We start from the raw sequence: 21,540 nt of genomic DNA on the forward strand, positions 1-21,540 counted from the left end.
CCTCCCAGGTTTGCCCTCCCTTTTCCACAGCCTGTAAACTTTCTTAAGGCAGTAAGTTATGACAATCATAAAGCTCCCCTTTTTGTTTTGCATATTTCAGAGATCACCGTCCTTTGTTGCCTGATGTCCAATGTCTTTAAAACCATTGCTTTATATATTTTGTCTATGTTTTATTTGTTTCAGTGGGATGATAAATCCATTTTCCTGTTATTCCATGTTGGCTGGAAGCATAAGTCTAGAACTAAAATTTTAGTTTAATTTAGTTTAACTAACTTAAACAGCCATGTGTGGCTAGGGGCTCCCATATTGAACAGGGCAGTCTATGGGGTGAGAGAAAGTAAACTGAAGTGGAATTGCCTGTGATTTAGTTTTGTGAGACATACTGGGAGATGGTGTATTGGACAGCTCCCTAGGTCTTGTTTAATTGCCCAGTGGCTTTGAGAGTGTTCTTGAGACCATGCCTGACAAAGACTGCTTGCTGCTCAGATGAAGCCCATTACTCCTTCTTCATGGCTCACTGCTAGACTGAGAGCATTAATTTGCAGAAATCTGGCTTTCTTTTCACTTCAGCAATCTGGTTCCAAACTCTCTGTAGGCTGGCTCTAGTTACTATTCTCTTATGACTCTGGGTAGAATGCCTTCCATGGATGCACTAAGTAGGTGTTGCCACTTGACTCCCAGGTTGATATAATCTTGCCTTATTTTATGTTTCTTAAATGAAAATTCATCTCTTTTCCACATGTGGCATTAAGAACCAACACTATTACTACTTTGGGAGGCCCAGGAGAGCAGATCAACTGAGGTCAGGAGTTCGAGACCAGCTTGGTCAACATGTTGAAACGCCGTCTCTACAAAAAAATATAAAAATTAGCCAGGCGTGGTGGCACGTGCCTGTAGTCCCAGCTACCTAGGAGGCTGAGGCAGGAAAATCACTTGAACCTGGGATATGGAGGTTGCAGTGAGCCGAGATCACGCCACTGCACTCCAGCCTGGGCCACAGAGCAGTAATCCGTCTCAAAAACAAAAAGAAAAACAAACAAACAAACAAGAAATTACACTAATAAATGAGACCCTGAGCATTTTCCCATTCATGATTATTAGCCCCAGACAACTTAAAGCTAAAAAAATAACCAAAAAAAACCCAAAAACCTTTTGTTTTATTTTTTAAATCACTTAAACCCTAGTAAGGGATGCAATTAGGTTTTGCATGCCTGATTCATTTCAATTAAGATAGACTTGTTTGCAGATTTACGGTGTTGAATCTCAGACTGCTGTCTAATATTTAAAAGATATTAGACCGTAGAAGATCTTGTAACTTCTCTGCACCGTAAGACTGGTAATAGATTTGTATTATTAATACAATCATGTTTACTGGAAAGAAGAGTTCTATTTTTTGGTGCCTCCACCAGAAAAATGAGACATGCTTCAGACTGATTCATTCATCCATAAACTATTAATTGATCATCTGTTACATTCTAGACACTAGAGATAAAATAATGAACAAAGCAGACAAAAATCTCTCACTTCACAGAGATTCTATTCTGCTTGAAGGAAACTATCAATAAGTACAATAAATAAGTAAAATATGTGGAATGTGAGATGGTAATAAGTGGTATGAAGTAGAATGAAGTGGAAGCAGGAGTAGGGAGTGCCAGGGTGGCTGTGATTTTAAATTGGGTGATCTAGAAAGGCTCACTAAGGAGGTGCCATTTGAACAGAGGACTGAAGGGGGCGAGGGAGTGAGTTTGGGTAAGTGCATTTCAGGTAGAAGTAACAGCAAATGTAAATGAAATGCCCTCAAGCCAGAATGCGTGTGGCTTGTGCCTGTGCAACAGCAAGGAAGCATTTTGGACTTAGCAATACACCTTGGATTTTCTAAATGTATAACAGACTTTGGGAACTTCATTGTTCATCCTCCTAGCATTCTCATATACGCACAGTGCAACATCTTTAATTTATGTGTAACTTTATGAATGTATGGATTTATTTATTTTTATACTCTATGTTATTCCAAAAATGTTCCACATAATTTCTAACTGGATCTTTAATCTTCTGTCTCTTTTCCCTGGAATACAACTATCAGAGTAATTTTCCTAAAACACTGTTTTATTCATGTTCCTCTCATTCTTAAGAACCTAAAACTTCTCCTTTAATCAAGTCCAAAATTTTCAATTTGCTGTTCAAGGTCCTCTGTCTTGGGTACGATATTCCTTCATGCACCCTACCTCCATATCACCTGTCTATGTGTCATACTTATTCCCACCCACACATGAACTCATGCTGCCCCCACTGCCTTGAGAGCCCCCATTTCTCATTGCCAATTCATTTTATACATAACTTTGAAATAAAAAATCAAAACTCAAATCTACCTCACTTATTTATTCAACAAAGCATTTATTTATTATCTTCTATACACCAGGCATTCAACAGCATGAAACCTTATGCAATTAACATGAGCCTTGAAGAATGGCTTTCTTTTCCTGGTCTCCTATAACAGTCTAAAATATACAGCAGAACACTGTATTTCATTAAATATTCTTGTTAAGTTTCTACTGTGAATACGTATTTTCCCCGGAGGTAAGCTGTAAATTCCTTGAGGACAGGAGCTTTGTCTTTTGTTACTTTGTACTTTTCACAGTGCCTGGCATAGTAGAAGCAAATTAAATATTTGTTGATACATTGATTTCATTTCCAAGGGTTTTTTAGATGCTGTCACAGCAAACCTCTGAAGATCTTTTAAAATTATATTTAATTACTCTCCCATCTTATTAATTAAGTAAAAATGGCAACTTCTGCAACACCATGATAAACAGCGAATACTTCATTGGCCAGCTGGCTCACCCAAGTCTTTTATAACATTGGATGAAAGATACATCATCCACTTTCTCCTTTCAGTTGATGGTATTTTGATCTGTACAAAAACTGCAGGACATCGGCTGCTTTAACAGTGATAAATGTGGGCTACAGCAGATAATGTTGAGTCCTATGCTCAAACCGAGAACATTCATCATGCGCTTCTTTCTGTGGATGAGTGAACAAATCCCCAGGTCCCCATTGTTCGTGATGGGACAAGATACATCTCCTTCTTTCAAACAGCAAGACAGCTGTTTAAATTTTCAAGGCATCTATGAATTGTCCACAGAACCATGCCTTATAAGACATTGTATCCTCCAGCTAAGTTCCAGCCGCACTGGGCTTCTTCCCGTTCAAGTGTGTCAATCCCTTTCCTAGCCTCAGCTCTTCAATATTTGCTGCCCTCCCTGCCTGAAATGCTCTTCTCTCAGCTCTGCAAAGTCTCTTTTTTATTCTTCAGCTTTCAGTTCAAATACTGCCCCCTTAACCCGGCCTTCCATGACCACTTTTATTTACAGATGCCCTTTCTACCCCCAAAACAACCTATAAACCACTGTTACATCACCTTCTTATTTCTTTAATAGTATTTATCCCAGTCTAGCCTAGAAGAGGTCTGGCACTTGGTAAATATGTGTTAAGTGAAAGAACAAATAACTGGTAATAAAATTAGCTACACATTGTTTACCAGCATTGTTTACTACCTCATGCTCCATCCTATAAGTGATATCCACAAACCACCTGTGCAGTACTTGACTTTCAATAACTTATAGCTTTAATAATTAGTATTGCTTTTACTTGAATAAATGGGAGTGAAAATTTTAAATGAGAAATGTCCTGTTGATCCATATCCCTGGCCTGGCCTGTTTTTGTTCCCTGAATAGCCTTAGCTTCCATTAATGACTCTGATTATCTCTTAGCTCTGTGGATTTAACCCTGATCAAACTCATTTAATCTTTCAACTGCAGGGCAATCCTCATGTGAATCAGAATCCTTCATTTGTGTTGTACAGAAAACATCTGCATCTTTACAGCAGCTCTGTGAGTTGGCAAAGCATGCAGCGGGGTGATCTCCATTGTACAGATTAAGAAGAGGTTTAAAAAAATAAGTGACTTTACTAAGGTCATGTGACTAGAAAATAAGGATGAAGGCAGAGATGGGACAAGAGAGTCTGTTCTTGTATTCAGAGGGGTGCTCTCATGGCACTCAGGAAATCTTATTATCAGTGTCTTTCTGGATGAAAACAATGAGAACAGACCACTGGGAAAAAAAAAGTTCTCAACTGCATGCACAAAATCGTCCTCACCCTTTACTCCTGTCATGACCACAGAACTCACGGTAGTTTCAGAAAGCAGGCCAGTTCCCATGCTTTCAGCCATGTAGATTTGGTTTGCTCTCCGTCCCTGGGTTGCCTTCAATTCCTTTAGTCACTTGCATTTATTTTACGTTAATTTGGGCATTCTGCCATCGGCCTGTCTTTCTAGTTGTTCTTTACTTATTAATTTAGGAGTACATGTAGTCTATCAAGAGCTGTGCTTTCACATGGAGGCAAAATTGGACTTTTTAAATTATTATTATATTTTTTTGAGGTGGAGTCTCACTCTGTTGCCCAGGCTGGAGGGCAGTGGCAGGATATAGGCTCACTGCAAGCTCCGCCTCCTGGGTTAAAGTGATCCTCCAGCCTCAGCCTCCCGAGTAGCTGGGACTACAAGTGCATGCCACTGCGTCTGGCTAATTTTTGTATTTTTAGCAGAGACGGGGTTTCACCATGTTGGCCAGGCTGGTCTCGAACTCCTGACCTCAGTTGATCCACCTGCCTCCACCTTCCAAAGTGCTGAGAATACAGGCATGAGCCACTGTGCCCGGCCCAAAATTGGACTTTTAAAGAAGAAGGAAAACTCTCAGATTACAATTATCCTAAATAAATTGGAGACTTTTACTAAAACAGAATTACCTGGGGGAAAGAGAGAAAGGGAGAGGGGGAGAGAGAATATGAATGAGATCTAAGAGCATGTCTCAGTAGAAAAAATAGAAATTTATCAGGCTCACTAGAGGAAAGTAGAAGAAGCATGTATGTCTGTGATTGCATGAGCATTTTATCCTCCTTGTCTGTAGATGTCAACACTGGGGGTATTACTGAAAGAACCCCAAGTAGAGCTGAAAAGAATGATCTACATACAGCAAGCCACCAAGCAGGCCAGGAATGGGATCCTTTGGCTTATTTAATGCCTGCCTAACATTGGTGGGGGGAGGGGGGCCCTGCTTCTCAGGCCACACAGCAACTATGCCCAGAAATCCCGTGGGGGATGACTAGGCCCAGCGCCTTCACTGGTTGGGTTCTTTAGTCAGCTATCTTTCCTTCGCGGGTTTGAGTTTCTTCACCTAAGGAAACCTAGTCATGGCCTATTGTATTTGCCAGAGTTGTGGGACCAAGTGAGAAACGTGAGAGAGACAGAATTTTGGAATCCATTAAATCCACACAGGTACAGGTTATCTTCATGTTATTAATGCACAGATAGACCTGCTCCTTGCTAGCTCTGTTAATGACTTTTGTGAGTCCCTTTGGGATTTCTTCAGTTCTGCTGGTTAATGGTCATTTCATTTCAGCTCAGGATATAGAAGCTGCTTAAGGATCCTGCTCTCATCTGTTCCTTCCTATGTCTAGACTGGAGAGACTGACTTGCATGAGATATAATTTTAGTGCTGGCAGGCCAGCTGCTGTCTATGATATCATGGAAGGTGACCTTATGTTGCCTACAGATGTTAAACACTGCTTGCAGGTGACCTGGCAATTCTGCCTCTCTCTCCATTCTGCATACTAAATCTCTCCATCAATCCGAACTAAGCATGGAGGGTGATTTGTTCTGCTAAAAGTCTCATAGGAATTTCTTAACTATTGCTGACAAAAGAAAAAGGCAAAAAAAAAGTAAGGCCAATTTATTTCCAGGCTTTTGCTAAGTAGCAGATGTTTCCTGTGCAAAAGTAGTATTATAGCAGCATGTTATATTTGCATAGCATCATATGGTTTTGAAAAACAAACTTTGTTTTAAAAATTATACAAGGAATCATGAATATATTCACGTTGAAAAAACTTGAAACAACATGGAAATATATAGAGGCAATCGTTTCTTCTGGGAAAAAACAGGGATCTTGGGGTGATATAAGAGATACAGTTGAAGGAAGATCTCAATTTTGCCTCTATATTGAAATGTTATTGTTTATCAGTACATAGCTTGTATAAGCATTTGTATACATATAAAGATTTCTGTATATAAATAGATTCATACTGAACATATCATTCAGCAATTTTTCCTTAATCTTGATGAGCTTTCTAAGTCATTAGAAAATAGATTTGCTACATTAAAAAACATATAGCTCCATGCTATTTCCAGAGTATGCCAATCACTTTGCTACATATGAACATTTGTTTTGAACTTGCTGATATAACAGTGTTGTAAAAAACATTTCTGCACATACAGCTTTCTGCACATGCACAGGTATTTCTTTCAGTAGGATAGAAACCTGGAAATGAAATTGCTGAATCAGACTTTGGGTAAATTACCTCTCCAGAACTCAGTTTATTTTCAGTAAAATAAATTTAATATTACCAACCTTGTGTCATTTTGAGCATTTAAAATTAAAATTAAATATTTAAATTATAAATCCAGGTTCATTCTCCTTATTGAAGTCTTTTAAAAAAATCAGTTAAAATTCTTTTTCTCCTCACTATTCTCACAGTCGTTATTCCTCTACATCTGTTCCTCTATGTTCTGTTCTATATTAGGTGTTTGATGTGCAAAAGAAGAAGTGAAACAACTATTTAAATTCCTTTCCTCCACGTTCTCCTCATCCTGAAGAATGTTCAAGTTCTGTATTCTGTCTTCCCTTCTCCACCTCTGCTCTTCTCTTTCCTGGTTTGTTTTGTCTGTGGTTCTCATCCTTTCTTTTCACAAGCTACATGGAGGCAGCCAGCTGGAAATTGGCCTCTGAGGCTGGGGGAGTCGGAATGTGAGGGGTGAAAGTGCTGGGGTGTGGAGACCCTAGGACAAGTTGCCAGCTGAGGCTGAACCAGAGCTGTGTCTAGGAGCCAGGCATCAAGTGGTACCATGAAGGGTTTACGCAGATGCTTCAAGCTTTAGGGTTATAGCATTTAATGCTTTAAATGAATCCTCTAATGGGCTCATTACCAGCTTCTCGAGAACTCGAGAACTCCGAGGGGCAGACTGAGGAAGGTGAAGAGAGGAGGGACACGGGTAGGGCTGGAAGTGCACTGAGGTTTGGCAGTGAAGGTAGCATCTTGCAGCTGGGGCTTGGCCTCTTATTTATTGCCTCAAGCCCCGATACGCACAGTCCTCCGGTGGTGCGGGGTGCGGGTGGGGGGAACCCTGGGCAAAGTCAAATACAGGGGAAGGATTCGTTTCTAGTTCTTATGTGTCATAGCGTTTTGCAACATTCCAATATTCTAACCTTTTTAAACTCCCTGTTAAATGTGAGCATATTTGATGTAGATTTTCCCCTTAAAACGTTTTCTCTCCCTTGAAATCCATCACGTTCTTTTTTTAAAAAAACAAATTTATCTTTATTTATTTATTTTGAGATAGAGTCTCGCTGTGTTGGTCTTGAACGCCCAGGCTTTGATGATGTTCCCACCTGGGTTGCCCGCCGGGTTGCTGGGATTACAGGCTTGCGCCACCGTACCTGGCCCATCACATTCTTCATGAATTGTTTCTCTCATGGCTGGAGGTCTTTTAGCATCTTACGTATTTGTTTTGAAGGGAAAGACTAAAGCAAAGCTGCAGCCTGAAGCCTGAGACTACCACAGATTACATGGGAGCACCCCCGTTGATGTTATGACTAGAGGTGTGGGGTTTGAAATAGCTCAGAAAGCTGACCTCTGTTTCCAGGCCAGGCGCAGGCCTGAGGCATTGAATGTTGCCAGCAGGCTGAAATACATCCTGACACTTTCCTTTGTGGGGATCAGTGCTGCACATATGGTGCCTGTTAACTGCTTATGTGATGATCAAGTAGGGACATTAGGAAATTAAAAAGAGATGGTTAAAGCTGTTGCTGAGGAGTTTAGCCACTAGCACCCAGTCTTAGCTTTGCGTCTTCATGCGAATGCAGTTTTCTCATCTTTCATCTGTTCTATTGCCTGAGTAGGTTAGTGCCATCTGCATAGACAGGAAATCCAGAAGGGAAGGACTTCATGGGGTCCGTTGACTTGTCCTCGCCCTACCAAGCAGTTGGTGTGTTTAATCAATACACTTTAATATAAATGTGAGGAAGAGGAAACATGGCAGATCCGCAGTTGGATCTTTGATCTCTCAGTTCTTCCCTTGGAACCTCTGCAAGTGAATCCATGCTGTTCATTATGCTCCCCCAAAGAACATCATGAGCTGTTCTATGGGGCCAGATTTTCATCCTACAATCATCTGAGAATAGTTCCCATATTGTAGAAGAGATGACTATCTGGTCCAATGAGTCAAGAGGGATAAAAGCACAATCCATTTGTGTGGGGGAAAGGCATGGTCTTGTGGCTAAAGAACAAAAACCCAGCATCTCTCCTGGATATGACATTTAACTCAGTGCATTAGGCATGCCATTTTATCTTATGATACAGAAATCTTGGGAAATGTTACAGCTGCCTAGGTGCCGGGTTGTTCCCAAGATTTATGCCTTCAATATGCTTTAGATTTTAATTCAAAGTATGAAATTACATGGCCACAAAATGCTGATGTAAGACTTTTGGTTTTCAATTGAATTTAGGAAACTTGGGGCTTTCTTACATTTTGTTTCTATGCCATCCTTAAAACCACATGTGACTCCTTTGTATCATGTTCCCATTACACAGAGAACTCTTTCGACATAATCTGTGTCTCTTCTGCCTTACATCCCAGGAAAGCAAATCTTTTGGTCCCTTCTGTTCCTGTCTCCTCCTTCTTGTCTTATTTCAATATCTGTTTTCACACCAGACCTTACACCTAGAAAATTCTCCCACTTTCCTTCCAATAATAACTCTCCTTACCTCTAATCCTTTTATCTTATTCCACTTTTCAAATTTCTCTTGCTCATTTAAAATCACTGAAAAGATTTTCATTTGTTGACTTAGGCATGATTTCTTCCACCAGTCCTAACCAAAGAGAAATCTCTCTCTTTCTTTTCAGTGCCTGGCACAGTGCCCACCACATACTACATGCCCCATAAATGTTTTTTGAATAAACGAATAAATACTTCCTCCTTCACAAAAATAACTTGATTATAAAATATGAAATGTGAATGGTGGATGCCTATTCATTGGGATAATAGTGATACCATGTCAACGTTGTGTAGGACTCTCTAGTTTAAGGAGCACGCTGTTGCTACTGTCTGGAATGCTCTTGCCTTCATCCCAAGAACTCCCCAATTCCTCACCACTGACCACATCCTAGCAGGCTTTCAGGACTTGATTTAGGGTCACTTCCTTCAGAAAGCCTTCCTGAAATTCCAAGGCTGTTAAGACTCCTCCTCTGTGCCTCCAGTCTACATATTTCTCATGGGACTGATGTTTACTTCTGTCTCTCTTCTTTCCTCCCAATAGTTACAATAGTGCCTTCTTTGCCAGGGTTTCAGTTATGCACAGTCAACCATGCTCCAAAAATATTAAATAGAAAATTCCAGAAATAAACAATTCATAAATTTTAAATTGCATGCCATACTGAGTAATGAGATGAAATTTCTTGCCATCCCATTCCATCTACTGGACAAAGTGAACTGACGTCCTCACTTTGTCCAGTAGACCCAGTAGACACTGCTGCCCACTAGTCATTAGTAGCTGTCTTGATGATCAGATCAACTGTCCGAATATCATAGTGCTCGTGTTTAAGTAACCCTTATTTTATTTAATAAAAGTCCCGAAGCATAAGAGTAGTGATGCTGGCAACCTGGTATGCCAAAAAGCAGCTGTAAAGTGCTTTCTTTAAGTGAAAGGGTGAAAGCTCTTCACTTCTTAAGGAAAGAAAAAAAAATTATATGCTGAGGTTGCTAAGAGCTGTGTTAAGAACAAATCTATCTGTGAAATTGTGAAGAAGGAAAAAGAAATACATGGTAGTTCTGCTTCCACATCTCAAACCAGAAACGTATGGCCACAGTGTGTGATAACTTTCATGATAGTATATTGTTATAATACCACGTATTTGTTACAATACCATATAAACGTATATACCATATACCAATATATGTTATAATACCATAATCACTTATGCTGCCTAATTTAAAAATTAAACTTTATTATAGGTATGTATATATAGGAAAAATCATATATATAGGGTCTGGCACTATCATGTTGGTTTCAGGCATCCACCAGGGGTTTTGGAACTCTTCCCACTAGCCCTCGAATAAGGGGGACTATTGTATTCTTCACTGGGTCCTCAGTGCCTAGCAAGGGTCCTGGAACATTGAAGGCAAACAAAGCATGTTGGGAATGGATAAATGCCGCTGCTTTGGATGATTTTTAAGAAGTGTGGGTGAGTGAGAAGGGAGACTGGAAGCCTTTTAGAAGAAGGACTGATGCTTTTCAGGTTAAAAGTGAGACTGCAACTGAAAGCTCCAAGAATTTTCAAGAGATGAGTGAGGCACACTCAAATTCAGCAACTGAAGGGTGAGGGCTAAGAAGAGCATCACCCGTTTCTTCAGGTTACACCAGCATGCACCATCTTGGCATTTCGTCTCTACTGTGATTTCCGTTCCTACCACATATTACAGTGTGAAATTATCTTTTTGTCTTAGTCCATTCTGGCTGCTGTAACACAATACCTTAGACAGGGTGGTTTAAACAACAAACATTTGTTGCTCACAGTTCTGGAGAGTGGGAAATCCAAGATCAAGATGCCAACAGATTTAGTGTCTAGGAAAGGCCCTCTTCCTGGTTCATGCATGCCATCTTCTCACTGTGTCTTCAATTGCCATAAAGGGTGAGGGGTTCTCTGGGGTCTCTTTTATAGGGGCACTAATCCCAATCGTGAAGCCTCCACCCTCATGACCTAATCACCTCTGAAAGGCCCCACATCCAAATACCATCACATTAAGAATTAGGTTTCAGCATATGAATTGGCAGGTGGGGGCAGGGCATAAACATTGTCTATAACACTTCTAGTCCTCGCTTGTGAACACTCCACTATAGCTGAAGCTCCTTCAGGCTGGAAAGGATAATGTTTCAGAGCTCTGCTTATCCACGACACTGTGGGCCAGGTGCTTAACAAGGAAAGAAAGGCCTGCTCTCTCCCTGGCCAATGTTTTTTGATGGCCTCCTTTAGGGAGAGGAGGGATGTCTGTTGTAGGTGGCTGGTATTCCAGAGTAAACTTTTCTGTCATGTGATTATCATAATTATTCTTGCCATGGATATTTATAATTAAAGACTACAATCCTGTTCTCTAATTGGTATAGTTTCAGGGTGGCATGGCTTACATCTAGACTGACTAGGCTGCCCTCTGACTTCTTCCTTTTACCCCCATTTTCCTCTTTGTGAGTCAAACTGTCTCCCAGCATTTTGAGTTTGCATTTCCTGACTTTGCTGCTGTGTAGAGAATTTGCATGTGTGGACATTGCTTTGGATTCCTCTAGATCAGAAATTCCCTTGTGGACCCACTGTGAAGGTAGCAGTGTGTGTGTGTGCATGTGTGTGTGTAGAAAAGTGGTACAAATACTATTTTCAAGACTTTCAAAAAGCTTGATGGAAACAGCTTGTGTGAAATAAGATTATACAGGCTAACTAAGCAACTAAACATTTTGTTTTTGTTTTTGTTTTTGTTTTGTTTGTTTGTTTTGTTTTTGTCTGTGGGCCAGAATTCTATTTGAGAAGGTAGGGTTTAGAAAGAATAGATGCATTTTAAAGGCAGATTTGGGTTAAATTTGCAGCTCAGTCATTAACACACTGTGTGACCTTATGCAAATTCTTAACTCTTTGCATTCCGTTTCCCCACTGAGAAGGTGGGACTAATAGTCACCAAGCTAAAGTGTTTAGAGACTAAGTAGAAGTCTATCTGTTGAGTGTCTGGCACATCGTAGAGGCTATATTTGGTCACTCCAGGAACACTCCATCACTTTAATATTCAGAGTGTATCTTCCTTTGAGTTAATAGATATCTCATCTGTATATTAATGAGTTGCCTCTTTTCAAAAGCGTTAAATGACACCAGCTCAGGCATCCTGCCCTCTGTGACAGGCCTCTGAGAGAGGATGCAGTCAGAGAAAGTTGATTTGGAGCCCCACTGATTTTTCTGACATTTTTTTAAGAGCGAAATTTTCTTCTTTTCAGGGAACTTGAAATGCTAAAAGCAGATGCCCAGAGACATCCTGATGATTGGATTTAAAATTTAAAAAGCATTCCAAACCTTCTAAGAGACAAATCTGACTTTAGAAGATTCTTACTTTTCATAAAAGTGTTTCCAGTCCCTAGTCACAGTCAAAAATTATTTGCATTAAAGAATACACAGTCTAATATGAACTCATGAAAATAATCAATTCCCTTTCAACCGGCATACTTGCTCTTGGAGTGAGAACCTAGGCTGCATTCCTAGTATTACATTAGTCACTGTGGTCTTCACTAATACAGAATGAAAATTCTCTGGGGCTTATGCCTACCACCTCCAGACTCTAATTACACTAGGAGAAACCAATGTTGCTGCAGAATGCTTGAGTTAGCATTTCCTGACTTTGCTGCCGTGTAGAGAATTTGCATGTGTGGACATTGCTTTGGATCCCTCTGGATCAGAAGTTCCCTTGTGGGCCCACTGTGAAGGTAACAGTGTGTGTGAGTGTATGTGTGTGTGTGTGTGTGTGTGTGTGTGTAGGGGAGTGGTACAAATACTATTTTCAAGATTTTCAAAAAGTTTGATGGAAACAGCTTATTTGTGTGAAATAATATTATACAGGCTGACTAAACATTGTGTTTTTTGACCGTAGGCCAGAATTCTATTTGGGAAGGCAGGATATAGAAAGAATGGATGCATTTTAAAGACAGAAAGATTTGGGTTAAATTTGCAGCTCATTCATTTACAAACTGTGTGACCTTATGCAAATTCTTAATCCTACTCATTCTGCTTTTTCACTGAGAAAGTGGGAATAATAGACACCAAGCTAAAGTGTTTTGAAACTCAGTACAATTCTATTTGTAGAGTGTCTGGCACATAGCAATCACTATGTAGGTGGACTTATGATTATCTGGATTACCATTGCCTTAAACAATACAATAATATGTCACATTCTGGACAGAAATTTCAATAGCACACAGTGCTACCTTTTGTTTTTCTCTCTGTGCCAGGCATTGTATTAAAAGATTTTCATAAATTATCTCATTTAATCCTCATAATAGCTCTCCAAAGATAAGTACTATTATTATGCCCATTTTACAGAAGAGAAAACAGAGGCTATCTATGTGATTTGGAAGACACTCACTATCCAAAGATAGCTACTATTGAGTAGAGGAGTCAATAGTCAAATTCAGCTCATCTAACTTCAGAGCCCTCCCTCTTAACTGGTGCAATTAATTGAGAAGTCATACATGTCCTCAGAAAACTACCAGAAAAAGAGAAATAAATAAGGAAAGGAAAGAGAAAGACCAAGAAAGAAACAGAAAGAAAGAAAGTAATTGTTTCTTGAGATATATAGTTTGTGGCTGAGGCGGGTGGATCACGAGGTCAGGAGATCAAGATATATAGTTTGCTATTTAAATTATTTTAAGACTATGTCTTAAGACCATTTTAAGACTATCTCTAAGACCAAAAATGAAATTGGTCTTGGAGATGAAAATGGTCTTAAGCCTATCTTCAAGACCAAAAAGGAAATTGATCTTAGAGATGAAAATGTTGTGAATGGCTGCTTCAGATAGGGCAGAAATGTGCTTGCTTTTAGAATAGTTTGAAAGAGGATCCAAAAGAAAATCTCGGGGCCATAGAATGTGTTCAGATCAAGTTTTCTGAAAGAGAGAAAGCAAAAGCAACAGAGCCCCCTGTATGTTTGACATTTACATTAGGAGAACAACTTAAGCCTTGAAGAACTTGCTGTAAACATGCTCCATGACATGGAAAGGGGCACGTCTTCTAAAAGCTGAAGCCAGAGATATTCATGTATACTAGTCAACTGTCAGCCAGGCTATTAACATGCCACTTGGAAAGTCACTAGATGTTAAAAAAGTAGAATGAAATAATTATTTATTAAATACTCCACATTTTTGAAATGTAAGGGTAATTAATCCATATACAAAGAAATATTTGGTAAAAAGGAATTACTAATTTGTTGCCTTCTATATTCCTGAATGATTCCATGGACTTCAAGGTCATTTGCCAGTCACCTCGGTCTCTATGTGACAAAACACTATTCTAGGCTATAGTATTATTACAAATCTGTAGTATTAGATGATCACAGCTGAGATGCAAGGAGGTGGGCATTATTAATTTTAAATAAAATTTAATGAGATATTATTTCTATAGCGTATATTACATTCACTTAAAGTGCAGATTTTATGCGTCTTGACAGTTGTATACAACATCAATTACAAGCAAGGTACATGTCAGCCCATTTTCTGCTGTTATCATGGAATACCATACACTGGATAATTTATAAAGAAAGATTTATTTGGCTCACAGTTCTTGGGGCTGGGAAGTCCAAGATCAAGGGGCTGCATCTGGTAAGGGCCTTCTTGCTGCATCATAACATGGCAGTAGGTATCACATGGTGAGAGAGTGCATGCCTAAGAAAAAAGAAGGCTGAACTTCTGAAATAACTAACCCACTCCTGCTACAATAGCATTAATCTATTTATGAGAGTAGACCCCTCATGACCTAATCACCTCTTAAAAGTTCCATCTCTTAATACCATCACAATGCCAATTAAATTTCAATATGAATTTTGGAGGGGGCATTCAAAACATTTTATCACTCCCAAAAGATTTCTTGTGTCCCTTTGCTGTTCATTCCTTCCTCCACTCTGAACCATGGGTGACCACTGGTCTACTTTCTGTCACTGTAGGTTAGTTTGTATTTTCTAAAATTTTATGTAAATAGTCATACAATATGCACTCTCTTTTCTTTGGGTTCTTTCACTCAAACTAATGATTTTGAAATTCATTTATGTTATTACATAAATATAACAGTTCATTCCTTTTTATTGTTGAGTAGCATTATATAATATGTATACATTTTATTTTGTTTATCCATGTACCTGTTAATAAATATTTAGCTTCTTTATGGGTTTTTTTTTTTTTTGGCTATTATGAACATTTTTGAACATTCATGTGCTAGTCTTTGTATGGACACTTGTTTTTATTTCTCTTGGGTAAGTATCCTAGGTGTGGATCATAAGTTAGGTGTATGTTTAACTTTTTAAGTAAAACAGTGAATGTAAAATGGTACAAACCATTTGATGTTTTACCACTTTACATTTCTATCAGACGTGTTTAGGAGTTCCAGTTGCTCCACATCCTCACTAATACTTGGTATCATCAGTAGTTTTAATTTTAGTGAGTCTAGCAGGTCCAAGAGGTATCTTACTGTGATTTTACCTTACATTTCCTCAGTATCTGATGACATTGAGAATCTTTTTGTATGCTTATTAGCCATTTAATATCTTATTTTGTAAAGTGTCTGTTCAAATCTTTTGTACGTTATAAAAATCAAGTTGTCTTTTCATTACTGAGTTCTTTCTATATTCTTAATATGAGTCCTTAAAACATAAATACATATATTTTCTCCTCCTCTGTGGCTTGCATTTTCATTCTTAATGATGTCCTTTGAGGATCATGAGTAATTTTGATGAAGTCCAACTTGTTAAATTCTCTTTTATAGTTCATGTTTTCTGTATTTTAATTAAGAAATCTTTGCCTAGTCCAAGATCACAAAGATTTTCTCATTTGTTTTCTTCTAGAAGCTTTATAGTTTTAACTTTTATATTTAGGTCAATAATTATTTTGATTTCATTTTTATGCCTGCTGTGAGGTATATTATCTACTACTAAATAACAAATTACTCCAAAATTTAGCAGTTAAAGCAACAAATAAATTTCTTGTCTCACACAGCTTATAAGAGTCAGGAATTTGGAAGTGGCTTAGTTGAATGATTCTGGCTTAGGACCTCATGAGGCTATAGTCAAACTGCTGGCCATGGCTGTAGCCCTCAGTAATCTGACCAGGGCCAAGGGGTCTGCTTGCAGGGTGGGTCACTCACATACCTGTTGACAGAAGGTCTCAGTTTCTTGCTGTATAAAACTCTCTACAAGGCTGTCTGAGTGTCCTCACAACTTTGCTGTGGCTTTCCCTAGAGCAAATGATCTAAGAAAGAACTAGTGAAGAAGAAATCAAGGTGTCTCTTGTAACTTACTGTCAAAGCTTGACACCATCACTTCAGCTTGATTCTATTCATTAGAAGTGAGACTCTAAGTCCATCTCACATTCAAGGTGATAGGAGTTAATTTATACCTTTTTAAGGGATGAGTATCAAAGAATTTGTGGGCATATTTTGAACAACCACTTGAGATAAAGTTCAAAGTTCACTTCTTTCCCATGTGGATATCCAATTGTTCTACTATCATTTGTTGAAAATATTTTTTTCCCCATAGCTGGCATCAGAATTTTACTTTCTTTTCCAGATGAATTCTATTCATGGTTATATTTCAAAAGCAAACTCAATTTTTTAAAATTTAAGCCTACAGCAAAAGGTTATTAAAAATACAAAAATGAAAAATTCAAATGATGGTATTCATTCTAATAATGTACTTTCTGTAAGTTTGCATTTTCAATTTGCAATTGCAATAGTTAATACAATCTTGGAACATTAATGTTGGAAGACATCTAAGACATTAGCTAATTTATCTCAGTTTTATGAATATTGAAGCAGAAGTGTTAGGAGACTAAATGAATGGTTCAGGACATAATATAAGATATAGGCAGATCTGAGAATATTAGCTATTTAATATCCTGGCTGGGTAATCTTTCTGATATATCAACAGTCGAAAAGTCCTTGACATGAGCAGTTATCACCTTGGTCTCTGAAACTGTTATATTAAAGTCCACAAGGAGCACTTTTTAATTTCACCTTATTAATTGCATTTGTGTGAAAATCAGTCTTGTTCCTTCTATCCCTTTCCTTATTCCCTTAATATTTCTGTTTCATCCACTGATCCATCTATCCACTCATTATTGTTTAATTCACACATGTGTTGAATGTCTTCTATGAACCAAACATTGGTCCAAATGCTCAGGACACAAATATTAGAAGAACACTGTCTTTGCCCTCAAGGAACACAGAGTCTGACTTCTTCTGTGAGCACTAATGTATCATCTCTCTCCATGACATAAGCTTTTGGATTTGAGATTGTGTGTCTATCAGGTCATCACCCAGAAACCAAAACCTTTGAGAAAAATGGGATTTCCTAGAATTATAGAGATTGCAAATGTTTGTCAATACTCCATGTGAAGGAGCTACAGAAAATGGAGGCCTTCCATCAAAAGCATGGATTTTTCTCTTAGTTTGTACCATAATCAATATTCCTAAGGAAATCTATGAAAGAAAATGCCAGGACTTTGGGGGATCAGTCAGAGAAAGTTTCACTGTTAGCTTGCTTAACTGGTTTCTATAAAATATGAGTCTCCTAGCTGGATGATTCCAGCTCAGGACCTCGTGAGGTTACAGTCAAACTCCTGGCCATGACTGTAGCCATCAGTAGTCTGACAGGGACTGGCAGGTCCACTTGCAGTGTGGCTCACTCACGCAGCTCTTGGTTATGTGGTCTCAGCTTGATTATGTGTTAGATATTTGAGTTGCAAATTGGGGATTACTATGGCACTGGAAGGGAGGTGTTTTGGTGGGGTGCAAGCACAAGGTTTTTCCTGTTCATGATGAAAGCCTACTTCCCCATGAGCATGGTGCTTTATGAAGCTTTATTCCATGCCTTTCATGATTCAACCATCACTGAAGCATGAATGAAAGAGGGCTTTGAGATATACCATGTGACACCTGGTCCCCTCTGCACCCTTCCACCCCAGACTGTTTCTCACAATTAGAGCTGCCAACAGCTGCACCTTGGCTGGGCATCTACTAATGGAATCCTCACAGAGCAGTCAAATATCATTTCTTCTTTGTTTTCATAAAGTGAATAAAGAGTTTTAGGAAATCTCACCCATGCCCTTAGAATAGAGAGGTCTCTTTCTACAGTTGGTGCAGTTAAGTCAGGCTGCAAAGTCTGTCAAATTGAGCTGCTATTCTGATGATGCAGCCACCTTTTGACAGATACCAGTGGCAGCTGAATGGAGGGTACAGAAACAGAAGCCACTTTGGTGGAGGCTTAACCCAAGCTCTGCTGTGGATCAATGATAAAGGTCAATTAGCCAGATTATCTTTGCATAGAACTGTATGAAAGAATGAGAATAACGGAATGGAAACAGAAAATTTCAGACCTGATCTCTGGACTTGTATCAAACGGCTGCGGGTGGAGGAAAGGGCACAACTCTCATTCCAAAAAAGGCAGCTTTTCCTCTAGGACATGAGATTCTATGAACCTGACAGAGTTCTTAGTATAAACACAGAGATGAACTGTAGTTGATTTAAAGGGGAAAGAAATATGTTAAAAGACAAATGTGTGCTCACAGAATCATTGAGAGAACCAGGCTTCAGGCCCCACAGAGACCCAAAATTATACTGGGGAAATTAGGTAAATGAGGACACTGCACTGTAGCTGCTAAACATTGGATGGGGCCATTTGCACTCTGTCACCACCAGCCCTGGCCTCTGGACACCCATCACCACTGTCACCAGTGAAGATTCCCTGAGCCTTTCCTCCTTTGCCCTAGTGGTTCTCAAGTCAAAGTCTAGGAAGGTAGGTCTGATTGATGGAGCTTGGTCTCCTGACCATGTCTAGCTGCAAGGGAGGCCGGGAAAGTGGGTACTGGCATTTTCAGCTTCAATGTGGGAGGTGAGTCCTAATTCTTTCTAAAATGCATATTATTGGAGTGGGATTCACCACACATAGGAGAAGGGTTCAGAAACTGGGCAACTCCCTTAAGAAAAAAAGCACATCCATTTGAAAAGTTCTAAATTCTGATGAGGAATAAGAGAGGATAGGGGTAGAGTCTAAGTGAAGCTAATGACTGGGGAGATTAACTTAGGGAAAGTTCCCTGCTCCAGTAAAGAATCTGGAAAGACAGAATTTGGTGTTCCTTGACTTTGGCTTCAATTAGGATCACCTGGGGAGCATTCAAAAAATACTGTTGTTTGGGCTCTTTTCTAGACCAGTTAAGTCAAAATTCCTGGGAGTGACTTATGTTCTGAAAGCTCCTCCCTTGTGATTCTAATGTGTGGTCAGGGATGACAGCACTCAATTACATCAAAAGGCACCTGGAGAAGGGAAACAGGTAGGCTCTGGAGTGCCTGCAGGCAGGTGCCAGGAGGTGGCATCCATCCACAGCCACTTGCAGCATGTTTGGCATTTTTCTGATCTAGCACTGCTGAGCAACAGCAGGAATCTTCCTGTAATTCACTGGCATTTTTAAAGGCCTAACGTGATGCACACATGTGAGGTTTTCTAAAACCTGAAAAACATTGTTGCATGATTAATAAAAGCTCTTTTCTCCAAGCAGCAGAGGAGGGAGAAGGGAGGTGGCTGTGTAGATCGAGGCCAACTGCTGGGGAGCCGTGGGCTTGTTAACTAGAGCCCACCACTGAAACCCTCACGCATTTGTCCTGGAATGATTAATTTTTCTAGTTAGGTGGGTTGAGTGGGAGGAGAGTGAGCAAAGCCTGGGTTTGGGCTTCGGAAAGATGCCCCAGTGTGCACAGCTGGACGAGACTCTTCGAGGAGCCCAAGTAGTCTGTTCAGGAAACTCAGAGGGAGGAACAGTTCCCAGGCTAGTTGCCTTTGCGAATCACACAGACTTCTGTGCCCACTGTAGCCCTTGGCTCAGCTAGGAAAGATTTGCAACACCAAATGCCTCTAGGCTTATTTAAGAATACTGTCTTTGTCCATTCAGCTGCTGTAATGAAATACTATAGATAGATTGGGTAGTTTCTAAATGAAAGAAATTTATTTCTCACAGTTCTGGAGGTGGGGAAGTCCAAGATCAAGGTGCTGTCTGACTTGGTGTCTGGTGAGGGCCCCCCTCCTGTTTCACAGATGGCACCTTCTTGCAATATCCTCACATGGTGGAAGCGGGTGAACAAGCTCCCTGAAGCCTCATTTACAAGGGCACTAATCCCATTCATGAGGGTGGAGCCCTCATGCCCTAATCACCTCCCACAGGCCTCACCCCCTAGACCATCACCTGTGGGGGTAGGGTCAGGATTTCAACATGTAAATCGCAGAAGGACACAACTTTCAGACCATAACAGCTACTACCTGAGAAGGTGGGAGGTTTGGGATCCAGGTAAATTTTCACAATGCTAAATTTCCTTCCCAGTTTCAGACTAGATGAAATATGAAGGAAAGCAATTAAGCAAAGAATGTGTATCAAGGAGTCAAATATTTCATGAAAAAGCCAGTGGCAGCAAGTATCAATATTTGCTTTCCAGAGTAAACATCTCAGAGGACGTATCTGGAGCAAGGCGGGAGGCATGGAGCACAGCGAGGGAGAGTGAACAGCGAGCCCTCTCCAGCCAGCTCCCTCATCAGTCTCTATTCGCTGGTTACGAACATGATGAATGATACCACAGGAGCAAAGCTGCCGTCTCTGCCCTTTGCCGGCCCCATTAAGGTGGTTTGGCTGTAACCTTGAGGAATAGATTCTAAAGGGCACAGTGCTGATCAATGCTCCCAACTCAACTCCCCAAAGCCACCTCCTGTGAAATCACATGTCCATGCCTGCTCTTGTCCTCTTTTGAAATTAGTCAGTGGCGCTGAAATTAGTCTTGACAACAGAAACCTTCCAAGTGTTGGTTTATGTTCTTGGAGCAAATTATTGGCTGTAAGAACAATTTGGGGAAAAAAAGGAGCATTGAGAGGATTCATGGAAATGTGTGGCAATAATTAGGCTGCAGTGGCACAGAGTCCTGGTGGTGATTGCTGGTCCTTTTAAACTTGACAGAAATTTTCATAAATTGAAGTAGAGGAATGGACCTTTAAAAGAGGAGTAATTTTCTTTAATATTTATAATGGTAATATTTGTGTTTGGCACATAATTTAACAAATATATATTAGTTGCCTACTATCCTCTGTGCTGTTACTACTAGGATGAATTCGTCAGTGTTCCCACTGTTCGTGCAGATCTGATATTTTCGTGAGGGGCGGGGGTGGGAGAGGGGTGGATAAGGAGAAATTACTTAAGGTATACAGTATACATTATTTGGATGATGAATACCCCAAAAGCCCTGACTTGATCTACGCAATCTATGCAGTAACAAAATTGCACTTGCACCTCATAAATTTGTACAAGTGAAAAAAAAATTTTAGTACGATTCTCAGGTATTACTACGCAAAAACGAGAGAGAGAGAGAACCATAATCAGTTCATTTCAATAAAATAGAGTTAGTGATAGGATTGAGGTAAGCATAGGATGCTACGGAAGAGAAGAGAGGGGGCAGATGATATGCAAGGTGAAGTCTGATATTTTCTTTGTATTTTGAGCAGTGTGTGTATGTGTGTGTGTATGTGCATGCATGCATGTATGTGTTGAGGGGTGGGTGGACAACAAACAGTTTGTTATTAATGCAGCCGAAAGTGCAGGTCAAGGAG

The 21,540-nt window shown here is 39.8% G+C and overlaps 1 annotated feature.

Annotated features, from left to right (window-relative positions):
• Positions 19,496–19,996: an enhancer, noted in NCBI's record as "OCT4-H3K4me1 hESC enhancer chr13:37101466-37101966 (GRCh37/hg19 assembly coordinates)". NCBI's record gives its function as "activates a minimal SCP1, AML or CMV promoter by ChIP-STARR-seq in primed H9 embryonic stem cells {active_cell/tissue: H9 hESC(primed)}" and the evidence as "EXISTENCE:reporter gene assay evidence [ECO:0000049][PMID:30033119]".

The sequence above is a fragment of the Homo sapiens genome, chromosome 13 (assembly GCF_000001405.40).
Source record: "Homo sapiens chromosome 13, GRCh38.p14 Primary Assembly".
In the NCBI taxonomy this organism is placed as follows: domain Eukaryota; kingdom Metazoa; phylum Chordata; class Mammalia; order Primates; family Hominidae; genus Homo; species Homo sapiens.